Genomic DNA, 19,544 nt, shown 5'->3' with positions numbered 1-19,544 from the left:
CAAAGATTCTTTCTGGCTGCTTCTGCTGAAAAGAGGCATCAGGACAGATATTTTGAATCCTGTGAATGAATTTTTAGTGCCAAAGGCAAAATAATTTGGCAAAGGCTTTATTCCAGAAATAATAACAAAAATAATATCAATAATAATACCTATCATTTGGTAAGTTCTTTCTGTAAGCCAGTTACTGTTAAAAGTTTTATGTACATTATTACATTTAGTTCTCTCACCTGCATGTAAAACATGAAAGATAAGTGCTATAAAAATTATCCCCATTTGCCAAATGAGGAAACTAAATATCTTGTGCAAGCTCACAGAGCCAGCAAAGGGTGGAGATGGGTTTCAAAACCCTGTTAACAGACTCCAAATCTGCTCTCAACCAAGGCCAAATGGCGAGGATTTCTTACCTAGTATGCTAAGAAGAATTGTTGTGCTAAGATTGTCTTTTATTTTTCAAATATTTTAGATGGCTCTACACATTTAAAAAATGCTGCATCAAGAATCTGAATGAAGCCTACATTTAAAAGTGTTTAATGCCAATGCATTAAAAATTAAGCTACCTGCTTATTGATTTAAAGTCCGATTCTACTAGGAGAATAATGTCTGATATTTTTACCATGCCCTAACTAGGGCCTTACTAGGGCAAGACAAATGAAGTTCCTTGGGCACAAAATGCAAGGAGACACTCACTCTTAGTGTAGTGCAAAGACAGGGTCCTCACCGAAGAATGAGAACTTCCTTAAATTTTGGTCCCCAGGCACCTCACTTCTTACTTTGTTCCTAAAAATTTTTTTCTTTTTTTTTTCTTTGAGAAGGATTCTGGTTCTGTTGCCCACGGTGGAGTGCAGTGGCATGATTTTGGCTCACTGCAACCTCCACCTCCTGGGTTCAAGCAATTCTCCTGCCTCAGCTCCCCGAGTAGCTGGGATTACAGGTGCCCACCACCATGCCCGGCTAATTTTTATATTTTTAGTGGAAACAGAATTTCAATATGTTGGCCAGGCTAGTCTTAAACTCCTGACATCAAGGGATCTACCCCCATCGGCCTCCCAAAGTCCGGAGATTACAGGTGTGAGCCACTGCACCCAGCCTGTTCCTAATAATTTTAATGTAAAATCTGAATTTGACTCCCTTGGCTTAAAGGCACCAAAAGAACTTTGGGACCACTGACCAATGGAAAATAGTTTGTTTACTAATGACTTGCTCTCTTTTGTTTCCCTTCATAATTATTTGCATATGCAGAAAAATCTCTGAGTCTTCACCAAAACATTTCATTTTCTAGAATGTTTTCTGACAAAGAAAAATCATGATTATCTTGGTATTGAGTGACTGGTAGATCATATACACATTAATTAGACAAATGGGCTATTAACTGTCCTAGGACTTGCTGTGTTTCACATACAATGCTAAGTAATGATATATATTCACTAAATTTCCTTCATAAAATAAAATTCTATGACACTAATAAACTTGGGATGAGTTTGGAGGGCATAGTGTTTGATAACGTTTTTAAGTTTACAAAGCATCTTCAGGAGGAATGATCCTCTAGAGATATCTTTAAGATTAAACGGTTATTGTTGCAGTTTTCCAAATTAGATTAAATGAGATCATGGGGCTTACACAGTGCAACTGTGTAGCTGAATCAGGTTCCAACAGAGGTTGTCTTTCTTCAAGTCCTTTTAGTTGGTCTTAAAATCATTAATTAAGTAATTTAAACATTTTCTTTTCTCAGAATTTCAAACTAATTAAATAAATGTGCCTACCTGGAAAATTCTGCTTCTTCAAAACTTTTTGTATTCTATAGGTTTCCTGGATTTTAATCAATATAATAAAATGATTTGGATAGGTGGATATCTGTCCCTGTAAATTGTGCCAGCATCACTAGCCTGGCCAGATCATTCACAAAGTACAAAGCATGTCTTTGTATTGTTATGTAAATCTCCCATATGCTCATCATCTGTTAGGGTGAGGGTTTTGAACCAGTTGGGAAAGAGATACCAGAGTCAGAGCCAAATACCTGCTTTGATGCAGGTGATACTGGTTGGGAAAACATGGCTTGAAACTGCGGCCAAACTATAATTCCTATTGATCAGTGCACCCAATTTCTATTAATTTAATGCACCCTATTTTTCATGCTTCCTTGTATCTCTGCCTTTTGGTAGTACCTTCCCACACTTACTCTGGACTTGGACATGAAACTTGCTTTGGCAAATGGGACAGAATCAAACTTCCTGCAAACAAAGGCTTAAAAATAATGCTTCTACAGTTCTGTTTATTTATTTATTTTTACAATCCTTGCCATCACTGTGAGGAAATGCTTTTACTAGCTTGCTGGAACAATGTGAGAAACATAAGGAGAATGAGTGATCTCTGCCTAAGAATCCTAGACTCCTCAGCCCCATCCAACCCTCTAATTGACCTCAGATATGTGAAGGAGCCCAGCTGAGATCAGCCAAAGCTTGCCCAGATCAGCAGAAGGAGTCAGCTAGTAGGCAGTTGTTATTTTAAGTAACAGTAATAAAAAGAATGCTTAACATTGGGGGTAGTTTGTTATGTAGCAATAGTTAACTGATACACTATTCTTTTTTCTGAATTAAGCACACCCCTCAATTATAGTTAGAGAAGCTAGAAAACTCCATAGTCAAATTCTTCTTCTCGTCAAAGAGTATCCAGAAAAGTTCATCACATGGAAGGAAGAAAGAAGAAAGAATAGAATATTTTATAGCCCATTGTTGGCAATCCTAAAGAGATAGTCATAGGTAAGTCAGGGCTCATATAAGTATCAGCCATTACTGCATTAACCCCAGTTAGTAGAGGAATGTAGCTTAATGGATGCCACACTCTGAACTAAACTCTAAGGCAGAAAATTTGTCTTACTCTGGGGAATGTCAAAGAGGGTGGAGAGAAATGAATGGCAGATATAGAGGGTGGATGTACCATTTTTACCAGGGTTGATTTTCCTGGGACTACAAACACAGAAGAGCAAGTGAAATTTCTATTTCATGAACTATCATCAATTTGGAAGACAGCAAGAATATTCCATCTCTCCATTTGACCTCAACCAAAATATCAATTTATTGAGTGCTTTCTATATGCAAAGCACTGTGCTGGAAGTGCAGCAGATAGTCTGGCATTTGCTCATTGTATCACATACAAATTAGGCTTTACAATGACACAGAATGGAAATTAAAATCCCTATTTACACATGAGAAGAAAATAAGTCTCAACAGATTTTTAATACCTGATCCACGGCCACTGAGGTAGTATATGCAAGAACCAGATCTGCAACATGTGCTCTTTATGTTAGGGTTTAACCTTCTGTCTTATATTGTACTATCTAAGTATAATTTATAGGCCCGTGTACTCAAAGATCTTGTAATGTGATGTGTGTGTCTGTGTGTGTGTGCACGTGCACATGTGTGTATATTTCTGAGCTAGGTGCTGTAGGAACACATCCTTCTTGGTTTGAAAGAGGTTTTTTTGGAGAAAGCAAGAGATAGGCTGAGAGCTCTAAGATCAAGCTAGAAACTATTAGCGCATACATACATGTACTTCCCATTGTCTATCTCAAGTCCCCATTGTGTGATGACCACAAAGTTATCTGCTACTCATTGCCCTTTTATTACATAGTTTCTAGCCTGGTCATTAAGTTACTACCCAAAGGTCTTCACCCTAAGGTGACTCCCTCTTTCTTCAAGTTATTTTCTCATCGAAATTTCCACTGCTTGCTTTCTTAAAATTATCTGAATGAATAACCTGCCGGTTTATAAACCAAACTTGCACATTTTCTCTTGCCTTTCCTTTTTGTTCAAAACAAAGCATTCAGACTGCTGATGAAGAGAGTTTGCCAGAAGGCCAGTGACCTGCATTTTTTGAGTAGAAAAGCAATCACAATTTGCCAAAGGCACAAAAAAGTTAGTGATTTATGTTTTATATCATGACAGAGGCGCTGCTTCCTATGCCGTATTTTAAGTTGTTCTGTCTAAAGTGCTGGACATGCCACACAAAGTCAATGAAGCAATGAAAATAAAGGTAAGAAAATGAGCAATTTTTTTTTATAGATGTCATTAGGGCCACATAGAACCCTGGAACAGACTAAATAATTCTGAGTAGGAATGCAACCCTAGGCAGTCATGCAGATTGTGCAAAACCCCGTCAATGCATTTTTCTTAGTTTAATATCCTTCAAAGATCTAAAAGGCTTCAACATTACATCCTTGGTATTTCTTGACAATATCATCAGCTGTTAGTGAAAGAAAAACAATTAGAAGGAAAATACAAGCTTAAGGCTCTTATCTGGCATCTTCATATCTTAAGAGTTAAAAGTATTTTAATATTTCTGAATGTTACATTGTTATAGTTATATTTAATACATGAATTGATGTCACACGACACTCACGTTTTTATCAAATCCTCCAATTTAAATTAAATTCCTTTAATTTACATCTCATTTTTTAAATTATACTTTAAGTTCTAGGGTACATGTACACAATGTGCAGGTTTGTTACATATGTATACATGTGCCATGTTGGTGTGCTGCACCCATTAACTTGTCATTTACATTAGATATATCTCCTAATGCTATCTTTCCCCCCTCCCCCTACCCCACAACAGGCCCCGGTGTATGATGTTCCCCTTCCTGTGTCCAAGTGTTCTCATTGTTTAATTCCCACCTATGAGTGAGAACATGCAGTGTTTGGTTTTTTGTCTTTGCGATAGCTTGCTGAGAATGATGGTTTCCAGCTTCATCCATGCCCCTACAAAGGACATGAACTCATCATTTTTTATGGCTGCATAGTATTCCATGGTGTATACGTGCCACATTTTCTTAATCCAGTCTATCATTGTTGAACATTTGGGTTGGTTCCAAGTCTTTGCTATTGTGAGTAGTGCTGCAATAAACATATGTGTGCATGTGTCTTTATAGCAGCATGATTTATATTCCTCTGGGTGTATACCCAGTAATGGGATAGCTGGGTCAAATGATATTTCTAGTTCTAGATTCCTGAGGTATCGCCACACTATCTTGCTTATGAAGCTTATACAGTAGAATTCAGAAAACTGGTGCCATTCATTCAAATCACTTTCGATTTAGGATTAGGAGCAGATTCTGCACCTGATTCCAAATCTTGTTTTACAATCAATGTAAATATAAATAGCATCTGAGACAAAACAGAGAAATTCTTTCCATATAAGATTTGTCTTGGGTTTCAATGACAGCATATCATTCCATAATATTCTTTTATTTATGCATTTATGTAGATATTTTAAATTAATTTAAATAATATTTTGCATACTGAAACTGGGATTACAAAGAATTCAGAGAGCAGCCCAGCACTGTGGGTTCAGTCGTACATATCTGAAACAACTGAATCAATATAATTTTTTATTATACAAACAAAATAAATGTTACCAAGACATATGTATTAGACATACTTGTGAACTCATGGATTTCTTTGTCTGGTCCGTATCACACAGAGGCATGAATCTGTACCTCACTCACTTTATTGGACACTATAAAAATGTCAGTATTGAATATGTGCTTGACCAGATTAAAGCCAAGTCATTTGAAAAACAATTTGTTAAGGAAAATGAAGCCAATTATTGATTATCCAAGGTTATGTGAAATAGGGAGAATATGAATTATCTGATTAACCTATTACCTAATGGATTTGATAAATGTCTTCACTTTCAAGCAGATGTTTGATAAGTTTCTTTTAAACACAGCCATTTTAAGTTACATATATACGTATACGTAATTAAATTTAATTTTAATTATATATGTGTATGTAATTAAATTTAATTTTAATTATATATCCATATGGATATATAATTTAAATAACATTTTAATTATATATCCATATGGATATATAATTTAAATAACATTTTAATTATATATCCATATGCATATATAATTTAAATAACACTTTAATTGTTATCTGTAACATTTAACTTCTGTTATCAGAACAAATTCAGCTTCCCTTATAAGAGACCTGGCAGACATTCTAATATCTCCACATTTCCTTAAGAAAATAGAGTTAGGGAAAACATATTTGGCAAATTGTTTTTCTTATAAACATTTGTAAAATGTTTATCTGAAAAAAAACCTAAAAACCATTGACCAATTTATACTATGCCAAGATGAATAACATGGAAATCCTTACTTTCAAAGTCAAATTGAGTTGGTGTGATGTCAATTTTATAGCAAAATAAATTTGTCTTTAAAAATGCTATATTTTCTAGTTTGAATTCCTGTGAGCCAATTTGAAAAATCCACATATTGACAATATTATATGACTTTCAAAAACTCATATTAACTATGATGAAATGTTTAAGAGAGGAAGAATATACTATCATGTGCTGCATAATGTTTTGGTCAAAGGCAGGCCACATATACAATGGTCTCATAAGATTATAATGGACCTGACACGTTCCTCTCACCTACTGACATCATAGCTGTTATAATGTCATAGTGGAAGGCATTACTCATGTTGTGGGTGATGATGCTGTATAAACAAATGTACTGCACTGCCAGTCATATAAAAGTCTAGCATATACAAGTACGTACAGTACATAATGCTCGATAATGACAATAAATGACTGTTACTTGCTTATATATTTGCTATGCCATGATTTTTATCATTAGAGTATACTCGACTTATAGAAAAGAAAGTAAGCTGTAAATACAGCCTCAGGCAGGTCCTTCAGAAGGTTTTCCAGAAGAAGGCATTGTTATCCTAGAGATGACAGCTCCATGCATGTTATTACCTCTGAAGACCGTCCAGTGTGACAAGATGTAGAGGTGGAAGACAGTGGTATTGGGGATTCTGACTCTGTGTCGGCCTATGTTATTGTGTATATTTGTGTCTTAGTTTTTACCAAAAAAGTTTTAAAAGCCAAAAAATAAAATAAAAATTAGGAATAGAAAAAAACTTATAGATTGAGGATATAATAAAGAAAATATGTTTGTACAGCTGTATAATGTGTTTGTGGCTTAAGCTAAATGTTATTACAAAGGGGTCAAAAAGTTAAAAAAATTTAACAGTTTATAACATAAAAAAGATACAACAAACTAAGGTTAGTTTATGATTGAAGAATGACATTTTTAAGTAAATTTAATGTCATGTATGATATTTATAAAGTCTACAGTAGTGCACAGTAATGTCCTAGGCCTTCACATTCACTCACCACTCACTCACTGACTCACCCAAGACAGTTTCCAGTCCTGCAAGCTCCGTTCATGGTAAGTGACTTAGACAGGTGTGATATTTTTTATCTTTTATACCAGCAGGTCCTCAACTTTTTTGGCACCAGGAACTGGTTTAGTGGAAGATAATTTTTCCACGGGCCAGAGTGGAGGGATGGTTTTGGGATGACTCAAGCAGATAACATTTATTGTGCACTTTATTTCTATTATTATTACATTGTAATATATAATGAAATTATTATATAACTCATCATAATGTAGAGTCAGTGGGAGCCTTGAACTTGTTGTCTTGTAACTAGACTGTCCCATCTGGGGGTGATGAGAGACAGTGACGGATCATCAGGCTTTAGATTCTCTTAAGGAGCGTGCAACCTAGATCCTTCAAAAGCACAGTTCACAATAGGGTTCACGCTCCTGTGAGAATCTAATGCCACCACTGATCTGACAGGATGAAGAGCTCAGGTAGTAATGCAGGTGGTGAGTAGTGGCTGTAAATACAGATTAAGCTTCCCTTGCTCACCCACGGCTCACCTCCTGGTGTGAAGCCCAGTTTCTAACAGGCCATGGACTGGTATCAGTCTGTGGCCCAGAGTTTAGAGAACCCTATTTTATACCATATTTTTACTGTACGTTTCCTATGTTTAGATCTGGTTAGAAACACAAGTACTTAACTATTTGTTACAAGTGCCTACAGTATTCAATCCAATAATATGCTTCTTACAAGCAACAGGCTGTCTCATAGAACTTATGTGTGTATTAGGCTGTACTATCTAGGTTTGCGTACGCACATTCTACAAAGTTCACACGACAATAAACTCACATAATGTCTCATTTCTCAGATGTATCCCATCATTAAGTGACACATGCCTGTGTAGTGTAAACTTTAAATTGGCTTTACATTTTAATTCTCAGAAGTACTTCAATCAAACTGTATCTACAAAAGCCAGTTAAGGTGGAGACTTGGGTGAGCAGTTAACCAGATAATTCTTTTACCAGTGAGGAACTTCATTTTTATTTCTTAACAAAATAATACACTTTGGGGGCTTTTCATGTGAGCTAATTTGATGTGCTAATCTTTGCTCAGTTTTCATTTCTCCCTACCTCTGCTGAACTTTTTTCATAGAGATGTGTAAAATCTCTAGCTATATGAAACAAAATTAGTTATTCATATGCATGTTTCTTGGGGAGTGTGTGTGTGTGTGTGTGTGTGTTATTTGTAATTTGAGTCCATGTATGCAAAAAATGCGATAAAAATGGATCAAATTTTCTTGAATTTTATTCATATTCTTGCTAAGAAAAAATCAGTCATGTTTCAACAAAGCCTCATGTTTTTCTAATCTCATCTGTGACCAGCAAGAATCCAAATTTCTTTGTGTTACTTTCATTAGTGAGCATTTTATTTATTTTCACAATAAAAGTGCTCAAGGGATTTCGGTTACACTGAAAAAATGCAAAAGTGTTAAATGCTTAGCAGCTCCAGAATAACTAATGAATGAATTTAGGATACTTGCAAATTTTGATTTATAATTAGCGCATGTTTTTTAAAACATCACATTAATGTGATCTCAGAAGGAACTCCATGGGGAATATTTCACAAATGTACACAACAGACAGGGCCATTCCTTACTCAAAAATCAGAACTGATAACAGTCATCTCAGATGACATGAGCTATTTCAATATTATCTTTTATTGAAGTGAGAGTGTGAGACCATGTTGTTGCTTTTCTCTTCCATTGATCATAGTCAGATATGTGGGTTGGTTCATTTCATATAATGCTTTTAAGTGCTCAGACCACGTCATTGGCTTCTATGTAGAATGCAAATAAACAATGAACCTGCATCTTTTACACTAAAAGTGGGAGGAGACTTATTTACTATGTGAAGCTCATCCATGTGTACATTGATTCATCTGTCCATCCCTCTTCAATAACTATATGCTGAGTTTCTACTCAGTGCCCGGTAATATGTAGGCCATGGACATGAAATGGTTGATAAGACAGACAGGGCTTCTGTCTTCTGTTCTGAAGGACCGTACAGTTGTGTGGGTTGAACTTTGTTAAACAAATGACACCAAACCAGTTACCACAGACAAACTTCCTATGTTTCTGTATGCAGCCAAATCCCCCACTTGTGCTTAAGCTTCCATTTGCTTTTGCTTAGTTAAGGACATCACCCTAGCAACTCTCTCCATCTGAGGATGTCATTGAAGCAATTATTTATTTATTTTGAGACAGAGTCTTGCTCTGTCACCAAGGCTGGAGTGCAGTGGTGCAATCTTAGCTCACTACAACCTCCACCTCCCAGGTTCAAGCCATTCTCTTGCCTCAGCCTCCCGAGTAGCTGGGATTACAGGAGTGTGCCACCATGCCCAGCTCATTTTTGTATGTTTAGTGGAGATGGGGTTTCACCATGTTGGCCAGGCTGTTCTCAAACTCCTGACCTCAAGTGATCCGCCCACCTTGGCCTCTCAAAGTGTGGGGATTATAGGCGTGAGACCCCGGGCCCAGCCAGCAATTCTTATCTTTTTCTCCTAAATCATTATTTGTTTTCTTCCTTTGAGGATCATTCTCATCAGCAAACAGCTGATTGTTACTTCATCGATCACATTTTTTCCCATGATCCTACTTTCCCGTTAGCTGCTGCTCCATTTCTTGGCTAGCTGGTACAGCAGAAATCCCGTAACGGTTGTCTAAACACACTGTTTCTAATTCCTTTCTATTCACCATGCATTCATCCCACCACAACTTTTACTAGCGATGATCTTAATGACCTCCATGATTCTAACTGTGATAGTCAATGTTCAGTTATCTCACTGGACGTACAGACTATCAATTCCTTCTCCTTCATACACTTTCTTGATTGGGCTTAAGGACATTAAAGCCTGGTTTTTCTCTTACTTCACTGGTTACTCATTCCCAGTGCAGCCTGGCATTCCTCTTTATGTCTCATACATCTTAATATTGGAGGACTTTAGGCTTACCGTTTGCATGTCTTTTCTTTTCTTTCTATACTCACTCTTTTATGTTTCTCATGACTTAGTTTGTAACAGTATGCAAATGACTCCAAAATCTACATCTATATCTTCATCTCCCACCAACACCAGGTATATAAATTTATCTCCACTCTTGAATCTCTGCTTACAATGTAAAATAAACATATCCAAAACTGAACTTCTAATATTCCCCCTCAAAACGTGATCCACCTACCTCCTTCCCCATCATAGTTTAAGGTGACAATCCTTCCAACTGCCCAGGCTTAAGACATTGCAGTCATTTTCAACTCTGTTTTTCTTATTCCCACCTCTAATTTATTTGGAAATCACGCTCTCTTCAAAACAGATAAAAAATCCAACTACCTCTTCTCATTTATTTTTCTAAATCCCTTGTCTGAACCTTAAAACTTGTCTCCCTATTCCTACTCTGACACTCTCCCCTCAGTTTATTCTTGTCCAAAACCTTGTAACCATTCACCACTTCATCCAGGATAAAGCCAGAGTCCTTAAAATAACCCGGAGGGCCTTATGTGATCTGTCTGTTTCTTATCTTTCTGATAATATCTCCTATTATCCTACAACAATGCACTCTTTCCAGACATACTGCCTTTAACGTTCCTGGAAAATATTAGATACACTCTTTTGCCTTAACACCTTTGCACTGAATATTCCTTATGTCTGGAACACCCTTTTCAAAAGGGACACAAGTTTCCTCAAAACCTGTGTCTCTTTCTAAAACCTACCAATCTGTAAAATTACTGCCTTAATCTGTATATGCTGCTATAACAAATGCCATAGACTACGTGGTTTAAAAAAATTTATTTCTCACATTTCCACAGGCTGGAAGATCTAAAATCAAGGTATGAACAGATTCAGCATCTCGTGGGGACCCACATTCTGCTTCATAATTGGTACCTTCTTTTTGCATGCTCACAGGGTAGAAAGAGCCAATGAGCTTCCTTGTGTCTGTTTTATAAGGACGCTAATCCCATTCATACAGGCTCCATCTTCAAAATCAAATCATTTGCCAGAGGCCTACATGATAATACCATCACTTTGATAATTAGGTTTCAACATATGAATTTTAGGACACAAACATTCAGGCCATAGCAATTACTGACTGTCTCTACCTATTAAAATGTAAGCGACATAATCAGATTTGCATTTTCAAATAATCCCTTTGACTACTGTTCCTGATCTACAATCAGGGGATATAATAACTCTCTAATTTTGTGGGTGGCGATAGACATCCCAATTCTTCCTAAATATTTGTTTCTTATGCAACTCTTGCTTTTATTTAAAATTTTTTTTGTGTGTACATTATTTGGATTCACTAAAACTTTTGACATAGTTAAGATAACTTCATTTTGTTTTTTGCTATGAGCATTCTACAAATATATGAACGCATTTTTTCACCCCATCTATGCCTATCTATTCCCTACTACCAAAATTAGGATACCATGAAAGGCAACTTAAATTCTGAGCCCTTACAACTTAGCATTAAATAGAATAAAGTTACAGCACTCAATAGGAATTACATGGGCTGGGGAATGGGAGTGGAAATGTGGGAATGGAATGATGGAAAGATAAGCTGAAGAGAAGTAAAGGTAAATCTTGCCACATTGGCACCAGCTAACAGGTAGGGATTTTATAGTCTAAAGTCTTTGGTTTGTAAGCTTGGAATTGATACTTCTTAACTTTGTGATCTCTGAAAATCTATAAGCCATTTCTGAATCCTAATTTCCTGGGAATGAAATAGGGATAAGATCACCAACTTCACAGAGTTGTTGTCTTCCTAGGATAAAATGAGATTACAATGTGCAAAGCATCTAGTTATTGCTGGCATTTGATAGGCATTAATAAGAGGGAATTCTTGTTATTATTGTCTTTATTAGCAATTTTCTGGGGAGCAGGTTGAGCTAGTAATGTTGTGATTCAGTACTCTTCAATCATTTCTCTATTAGTCATTGTTATTACATAACAAGCAACTATAAAATCTCCTTGGCATATAACTGTCTGCATTTATTTCTTGCTCACACAAATGCAGTTTGGATGAGATGTTTCTGCTTCAGACTGTGGAGGCTGGGATGGCTGGGATTCAAAAAGCAATCAGCTATAAAGGCGAAGCTCCAGAGGTCTCTTGTCCCTTCTCCAGCTTGGTGAGCCACCTGGGCATGACTTTCTGTGGCAATGAAGGAAATAAAGAATGAATGACCAAACATACAAGCATATTTCAAACATCTATTTGCAGAATGACTACTAACATCCCATTGGCTAAAGCAAGCCATACAGCCACATGAAAAACATGGGACAGGAAAGCGTGCTCTGCCTTTTGTGGGGACTAGAAAGTTAGATGGCCAAGCACATCAGTGAGGGGGAAGGAGAGAAAGTGGAAGCAATACTTAAATTTTCCACAGTATCCTAGACTCAAAAGACAAAAGATTGCAATAAAAGTTCAAATGCTGCTCCCTTGCATCCACACATGAGAAGCAAAATGGAACTCGATATATGATGATAAGATCAAATGAACAATATACTTTAATATTCTTTTTAAAAACAATTTCAACTTTTATTTTAGATTCAGAGAGTACATGTACAGGTTTGCTAGATGAGTATATTGCGTGATACTGAGTTTGGGATATGAATGATCCCGTCACCCAGGTAGTGAGCATAGTATCCAATAGTTAGTTTTTTAGGATTAAAACTCCCAAAAACTAATTCGTATTTCTAGTTTTAATCCTAAAAAACCTAACTATTGCTCCCCTCCATACCTCTCCCTTCTATTCATTCCTAGTGGCTATTGTCCTCATCTTTAAGTCCATGAGTAACCAATGTTTAGCTCCCACTTATAAGTGAGAACATATGGTATTTGGTTTTATGTTCCTCTGTTAATTTACTTAGGATAATGGCCTCGAGCTGCATCAATGTTGCTGCAAAAGACAAGATTTTGTTCCTTTTCATGGCCGTGTAGTAGTCCAATGTATGTATATACCACATTTTCTTATTCCAATCCACCATTGATGGGCACCTAAGTTGATTCCATATCTTTGCTATTGTGGATAATGCAGCGATGAGCAAACAAGCGCATGTGTCTTTTTGTTAGAGTGATGTGTTTTCTTTCAGGTATATACCCAGTAATGGGATTGCTGAGTCAAATGGTAGTTTTATTTTACCTTCTTTTTTTTTAATCTTCCTTTAAGTTCCAGGATACAAGTGCAGAATGTGTAGGTTTGTTACATAGGTATACGTGTGGCATGGTGGTTTGCTGCACCTATCAACCTGTCATTTAGGTTTTAAGCTCCGCATACATTAGTTATTGTCCTAATGCTATTCTTCCCCTCACCCCTCACCCTCTGGCTGGCCCCTGGTGTATGTTGTTCTCCTCCCTGTGTTCATGTGATCTCATTGTTCAACTCCCACTTATGAGTGAGAACATGCGGTGTTTGGTTTTCTGTTCTTGTGTTAGTTTGCTGAGGATGATGCCTTCCAGCTTTATCCATGTCCCTGCAAAGGACATAATCTCATTTGTTTTTATGTATGCATAGTATTCCATGGTGTATATGTACCACATTTTCTTTATCCAGTCTATCTTCAATGGGCATTTGGGTTGGTTCCATGTCTTAGCTATTGTAAATAGTACTGCAATAAATATACGTGTGGGTGTGTCTTCATAGTAGAATGATTTATATTCCTTTGGGTATATACCCCCTAATGGGATTGCTGAGTCAAATTGTATTTCTGGTTCTAGATCCTTGAGGAAATGTTACACTGTCTTCCACAGTGGCTGAACTAATTTACATTCCCACCAACAGTGGAAAACCATTCCTATTCCTCCACAGCCTTACCAGCATCTATTGCTTCTTGACTTTTTAATAATCGCCATTCTGGCTGGCATGAGATGGTATCTCATTGTGGTTTTGATTTGCATTTCTCTAATGATCAATGATTTTGAGCTTTTTTTCATATGTTTCTTGGCCACATAAATGTCTTCTTTTGAGAAGTGTCTGTACACATCATTTTTCCACTTTTTGATGGGGCTGTTTGTTTTTTTCTTGTAAATTTGTTTAAGTTCCTTGTATATTCTGGATATTAGACCTTTGTCAGGTGTGTAGATTACAAAATTTTTCTCCCATTCTGTAGGTTGCCTGTTCACTCTAATGACAGTTTTTTTTTTTGTTTTTGTTTTTGGTTTTTGTTTGTTTTGTTTTGTTTTGTTTTGTTTTGTTTTTTTGCTGTGCAGAAGCTCTTTAGTTTAACTACAACTCAGTTGTCAATTTGGGCTTTTGCTGCAATTGCTTTTGGTGTTTTTGTCATGAAGTCTTTGCCCATGGCTATGTCCTGAATGGTATTGCCTAGGTTTTCCTCTAGGGTTTTTATGGTTTTGGGTTTCACATTTAAGTCTTTAATCTATCTTGAGTTAATTTTTGTATAAGGTGTAAGGAATAGGCCCAGTTTCGGTTTTCTGTATATGGCTAACCAGTTTTCCCAGCACCATTTATTAAATAGGGAATCCTTTTCCTATTGCTTGTTTTGTCCGGTTTGTCAAAGATCAGATGGTCGTAGATGTGTGATGTTATGTCTGAGGTCTCTGCTCTGTTCTATTGATCTATATGTCTCTTTAGTTACCAGTACCATGCTGTTTTGGTTATTGTAGCCTTGTAGTATAGTTTGAAGGCAGGTAGCATGATGATTCCAGCTTTGTTCTTTTTGCTTGGGATTGTTTTGGCTATATGGACTCTTTTTTTGGTTCCATATGAAATTTAAAGTAGTTTTTTCCAATTCCGTGAAGAATGTCAATGGTAGTTTGGTGGGAATAGCATTGAATCTATAAATTGCTTTGAGCAGTATGGCCCCTGTTGTATTTATTCTTCCTATCCATGATAATAAGCAACTTCAGCCAAGTCTCAGGATATAAAATCAATGTGCACAAATCACAAGCACTCCTATATACCAACAATAGACAAGCAGAGAGCCAAATCATGAATGAACTCGCATTCACAATTGCTACAAAGAGAATAAAATACCTAGGAATACAGTAACAAGGGATGTGAAGGACCTCTTCAAGGAGAATGACAAACCACTGCTCAAGGAAATAAGAGGGGACAGAAACACATATTTTAAGTTCTTTGAGAAATCTCCAAACTGCTTTCCACATTGGCTGAACTAATTTACATCCCCCCAACAGTGTAAAAGTGTTCTCTTTTCTCCATAGTCTCACCAGCACCTGTTGTTTTTTTTACTTTTTAATGGTAATGTAACCATTCTGACTAGTGTGAGAGGGTATCTCACTGTGGTTTTGATTTGCGTTTCTCTGATGATTAGTGCTGACGAGCATTTTTCATATGTTTATTGGCCACTTGTATGTTTTCTTTTGCGAAGTATCTGTTCATGTCTTTTGCCTATTTTTTAATGGAGTTATTTGTTTTTTGCTTCTTGACTTAAGTTCCTTATAGATTCTGGATATTACAGCTTTATCGGAGGCATAGTTTGCAGACATTTTCTCCCATTCTGTAGACTGTTTACTCTGTTGATATTTTCTCTTGCTGTGCAGAAGCTCTTTAGTTTAATTAGGTCCCACTTGTCAATTTTGGTTTTTGTTGCAATTGCTCTTGAGAACTTATTCAGAAATTCTTTTTCAAGGCTGATGTTCAGGATGGTGTTTCCTAGATTTTCTTCCAGAATTTTTATAGTTTGAGGTCTTACACTTAAATCTTTAATCTATCTTGAGTTAGTTTTTGTGTGTGGTGAAAAGTATAAGCATCCAGGTTCATTCTTCTGTATGTGGTTAGCCAGCTATCCCATTTGCATTTATTGAATAGGGATTCCTTTCCCCATTTCTTATTTTTATTAACTGGCCCAAGATCAGATGGCTATAGGTGTGCCACTTTATTTCTAGGTTCTCTATTCTATTCCATTAGTCTATGTGTCTGTTTTGTGCCATGCTGTTTGATTACTGTAGCCTTATAGTATTGTTTGAAGTCAGGCAATGTGATGCCTCCGACTTCATTCTTTTTGCTTATGATTGCTTTGGCTATTTTTGAGCTCCTTTTTGGTAAAATATCAATTTTAAAATAGCTTTTTCTAACTGTGAAAAATCATGTTGGTAGATTGATAAGAATAGCATTGAATCTGTAGATTTCTTTGGGCACTATGGCCATTTTTATATCAGTTCTTTCAATACACGAGGATGAAATGTTATTACATTTGTTTATGTAATCTATGATTCCTTTCAGCAATGTTTCATAGGTATCCTTGTAGAGAACTTTAATCTCCTTGGTTAAATGTGTTCCTTGGAGGCTGGGCATGATGGATCACACCTGTAATCCCCGCACTTTGAGATACTGAGACAGGCAGATCACCTGAGGTCAGGAGTCTGAGACAAGCCTGGCCAACATGGTGAAACCCCATCTCTACTAAAAATACAAACATTAGCTGAGCGTGATGGCAGGTGCCTGTAATCCCACTACTCGGGAGACTGAGGCAGGAGAATAGCTTAAACCCAGGAGGCAGAGGTTGGAGTGAGCCAAGATCGTGCCACTGCACTCCAGCCTGGGCGAGAGAGCAAGACTCCATCTCAAAAAAAAAAAAAAAAAAAAAAAAAAAAAAGTGTTCTTTGGTATTTTTTGTTGTTGTTGCTTTGTAAATGGGATTGTGTTCGTGATTTCGCTCTCAACATGAACATTATTGGTGTATAAAAATGCCGCCTTTTTTTGTGTATTGACTTTGTATCCTCAAACTTCACTGAAGTTGTTTATCATTTCCAGGAGCCTTTTGGCAGAATTTTTAGGGTTTTCTAGCTATAGAATTATATCATCTGTGAATAGAAACAGTTTGACATTTTCTTTTCCTGTTTTGTTGCCTTTTATTTCTTTCTCTTGCCTGATTGCTCTGGCTAGAACTTCCTCTTACTATTCATAATTATAAGTCCTTAAACAGTTTACCATATAAAAGCAAGATTGAATATGGTAATAAAAGTAGCTCATGGGACTATTTCTATTGCTAGAAGTATTTCTTTGGAATGCAAAATAAAACATAAACAAGTAGGGTATTTTATTACTTATTGAGTTATTCACCTAATATATATTTATTGAACATATTTCTATGTGCCAGGAAGCAGGTTGCATTAGTAGCTAATGATTTGTTACCAGGAGTTTGAAGTGATAAATGAAAAATGGAGAAGTAGGGGAATTTTGGAATGTAGAGATAAGAATAATAAAAAGTAAAAACTAAATAATGACACTAGAAATGTACTGGAAGGGGAAGCAATTACTTCTGCTGAGATGTGTGCATACATGCTAGAGAAATCAGTTTTTAAAAATCTATAACTGTTTATAGAAAATGAATAAGACATGAAAGAGACTCTGAAATTTATTTGATTTAATGTCAAAATCTGATATTGCAACATAATTTCTTGATATATATTTCCAAGTAATCAATTAGATTAGGACTTTAGTTTTTGTAAATAAAAACATAATCTGATCTATGAGAAATGAGCTCGTTTTAATGTAAGGCTGGAAAGGCAAAAGAATCAGAACAGGACTCAAATGGTAACCAATGATAAAAGATTTGCATAAGTCATCTGATTCAGTACAGCTATTATCTCAAAGTCATTATTTTCTGCCTGTCAGTCATAATTTTACTTGGTTGGATAATCACACACAAGTCCATGTTTTATACGAACATTTTTCATTTTGTCTAATGAGGAACTGTAGAAGAAATTCATTTTTGTCCAATGAAAAGTGCTTAGAAAAACATTATAACTTTGTTTTTATAAGGTCAATCTTAGTAAAAAGAAACAGACTACTGTATATTTGATTTAGCGTTATTTCACCATTAGAAATTAACCAAGACATTATAGATTAGGCTCTATGCTAAGAATGATTTCCCATTTTCCTCAAACTTGTTAGGTTTTTTTTTTTTATTCTGATGTATAGTCTCATGTATGGTGAATTTTTAGCTAGGAGATAAAATACTGAAGCTGTGAACACATTTTTCTTTTCTTTTTTAGTTCTCTGCAATCTTTTTTGGTCTTAAAAATAAATAAAAATTCTTGAGTTTAATTTAAACATGTGTGATGGTAGCTAATAATGCTTTCTATAAAGAGAAGAACGGTTCTTAGCTTCCAAAGTGCAATAGCATGGTTAAATTATATGAATGTCTTGGGGAAAAAAGTCTGAGAATAATTGCATTGAAGACTTAAATATAATTCTGAAATTCCCGAGTATGTTCTTCAAAATTTAAACACTTCAATATTTGATCATAAAATTTATTCATTTCTTTTTTTTTTTTTTTTTTTTGGAGACCGAGTCTTGCTCTGTCACCTTGGCTGGAGTGCAGTGGCACGATTTCAGCTCACTGCAACCTCCGCCTCCCAGATTCAAGCAATTCTCCTGCCTCAGCCTCCCAAGTAGCTGGGATAACAGATGCCCACCACCATGCCTGGCTAATTTTTATATTTTTAGTAGAGACAGAGTTTCACCGTGTTAGCCATCAGGAGATGGAAACGATCTCCTGACCTCATGATCTGCCCACTGTGGCCTCTAAACAGATTTTTATCAATCAAATCTTATTTTCCCAGTGACCTATACAATCATTTTAGAGTTTTCTTTGGCTTAGTTTGAATTCATCTATCATTGGCAGTGGTTCTCAACATTTTGGTTGAAAATATTTCTCCCCTGTCATTCTGCTATTCAATGGTGATGTTTAGTTGTTAAGCTATTCATGATAAAATGTAAACTTACTAGAAATTATGAACTCCTTTGGAACAAAAGTCTTCATACATGTAAATGTTTCCTTGACAATTCAGAATGACTCTGAATTCCCTGTTAGCCTAATTATTTGGAATGAATCATTACCTTCTATGGTCACTAATCTCCATGTGGTCACATTTATTAATATATTTTATTCCTATTTAAAGTGCTTTTTTTTTGTTTGTTTACTGGTCGTATTCTCTGCTTTAGTACCTTTTAATAGTCCCACTTCTCAGTTGCAATCCCGAAGCTGGCTCACCCTGAAATAATGAAAACAGCAACTTATTAAAAAGACATTGGCTAACTCACAGACATATTAGGAAGGCTAGACAACTATGCGTACAATAAACAGCTAGAAAAATCACCCTAGATTTTATACCAGATCATATCTGCTGAGAAAATTGTTGTTACTACAAAAATAGCAGGTGGGAGGGTCAGGAAGAGAAGAAGGAGAAAGGACAGGAGGTGGAGGAGGAAGAGTGGCAGGTAGGAGGTGGAGGAGAAAGGTGGGGAGGAGAGATGTTTTCTTATCATTTTCTTTTTGGCTTTCCACATCTCATGTCAAAACTCTCTGCAACCTAGCTGCAAGCCAGGCTGGG

At 36.2% G+C, this 19,544-nt stretch overlaps 1 long non-coding RNA gene across 1 annotated transcript; it reads right to left on the bottom strand.

Annotated features, from left to right (window-relative positions):
- Nucleotides 1-12,065: 12,065 nt before the first annotated feature.
- Nucleotides 12,066-19,208, bottom strand: LOC124909341 (uncharacterized). The gene is made up of 2 exons (XR_007095801.1): nucleotides 19,159-19,208; nucleotides 12,066-12,377 (listed from the first exon to the last, which is right to left on the bottom strand). It is a non-coding gene; the product is annotated as an uncharacterized LOC124909341 (long non-coding RNA).
- Between the last annotated feature and the right edge of the window lie 336 nt (nucleotides 19,209-19,544).

The sequence above is a fragment of the Homo sapiens genome, chromosome 3, assembly GCF_000001405.40.
Source record: "Homo sapiens chromosome 3, GRCh38.p14 Primary Assembly".
Taxonomy (NCBI): domain Eukaryota; kingdom Metazoa; phylum Chordata; class Mammalia; order Primates; family Hominidae; genus Homo; species Homo sapiens.
This window is presented reverse-complemented; position numbering and strand designations above follow the sequence as displayed.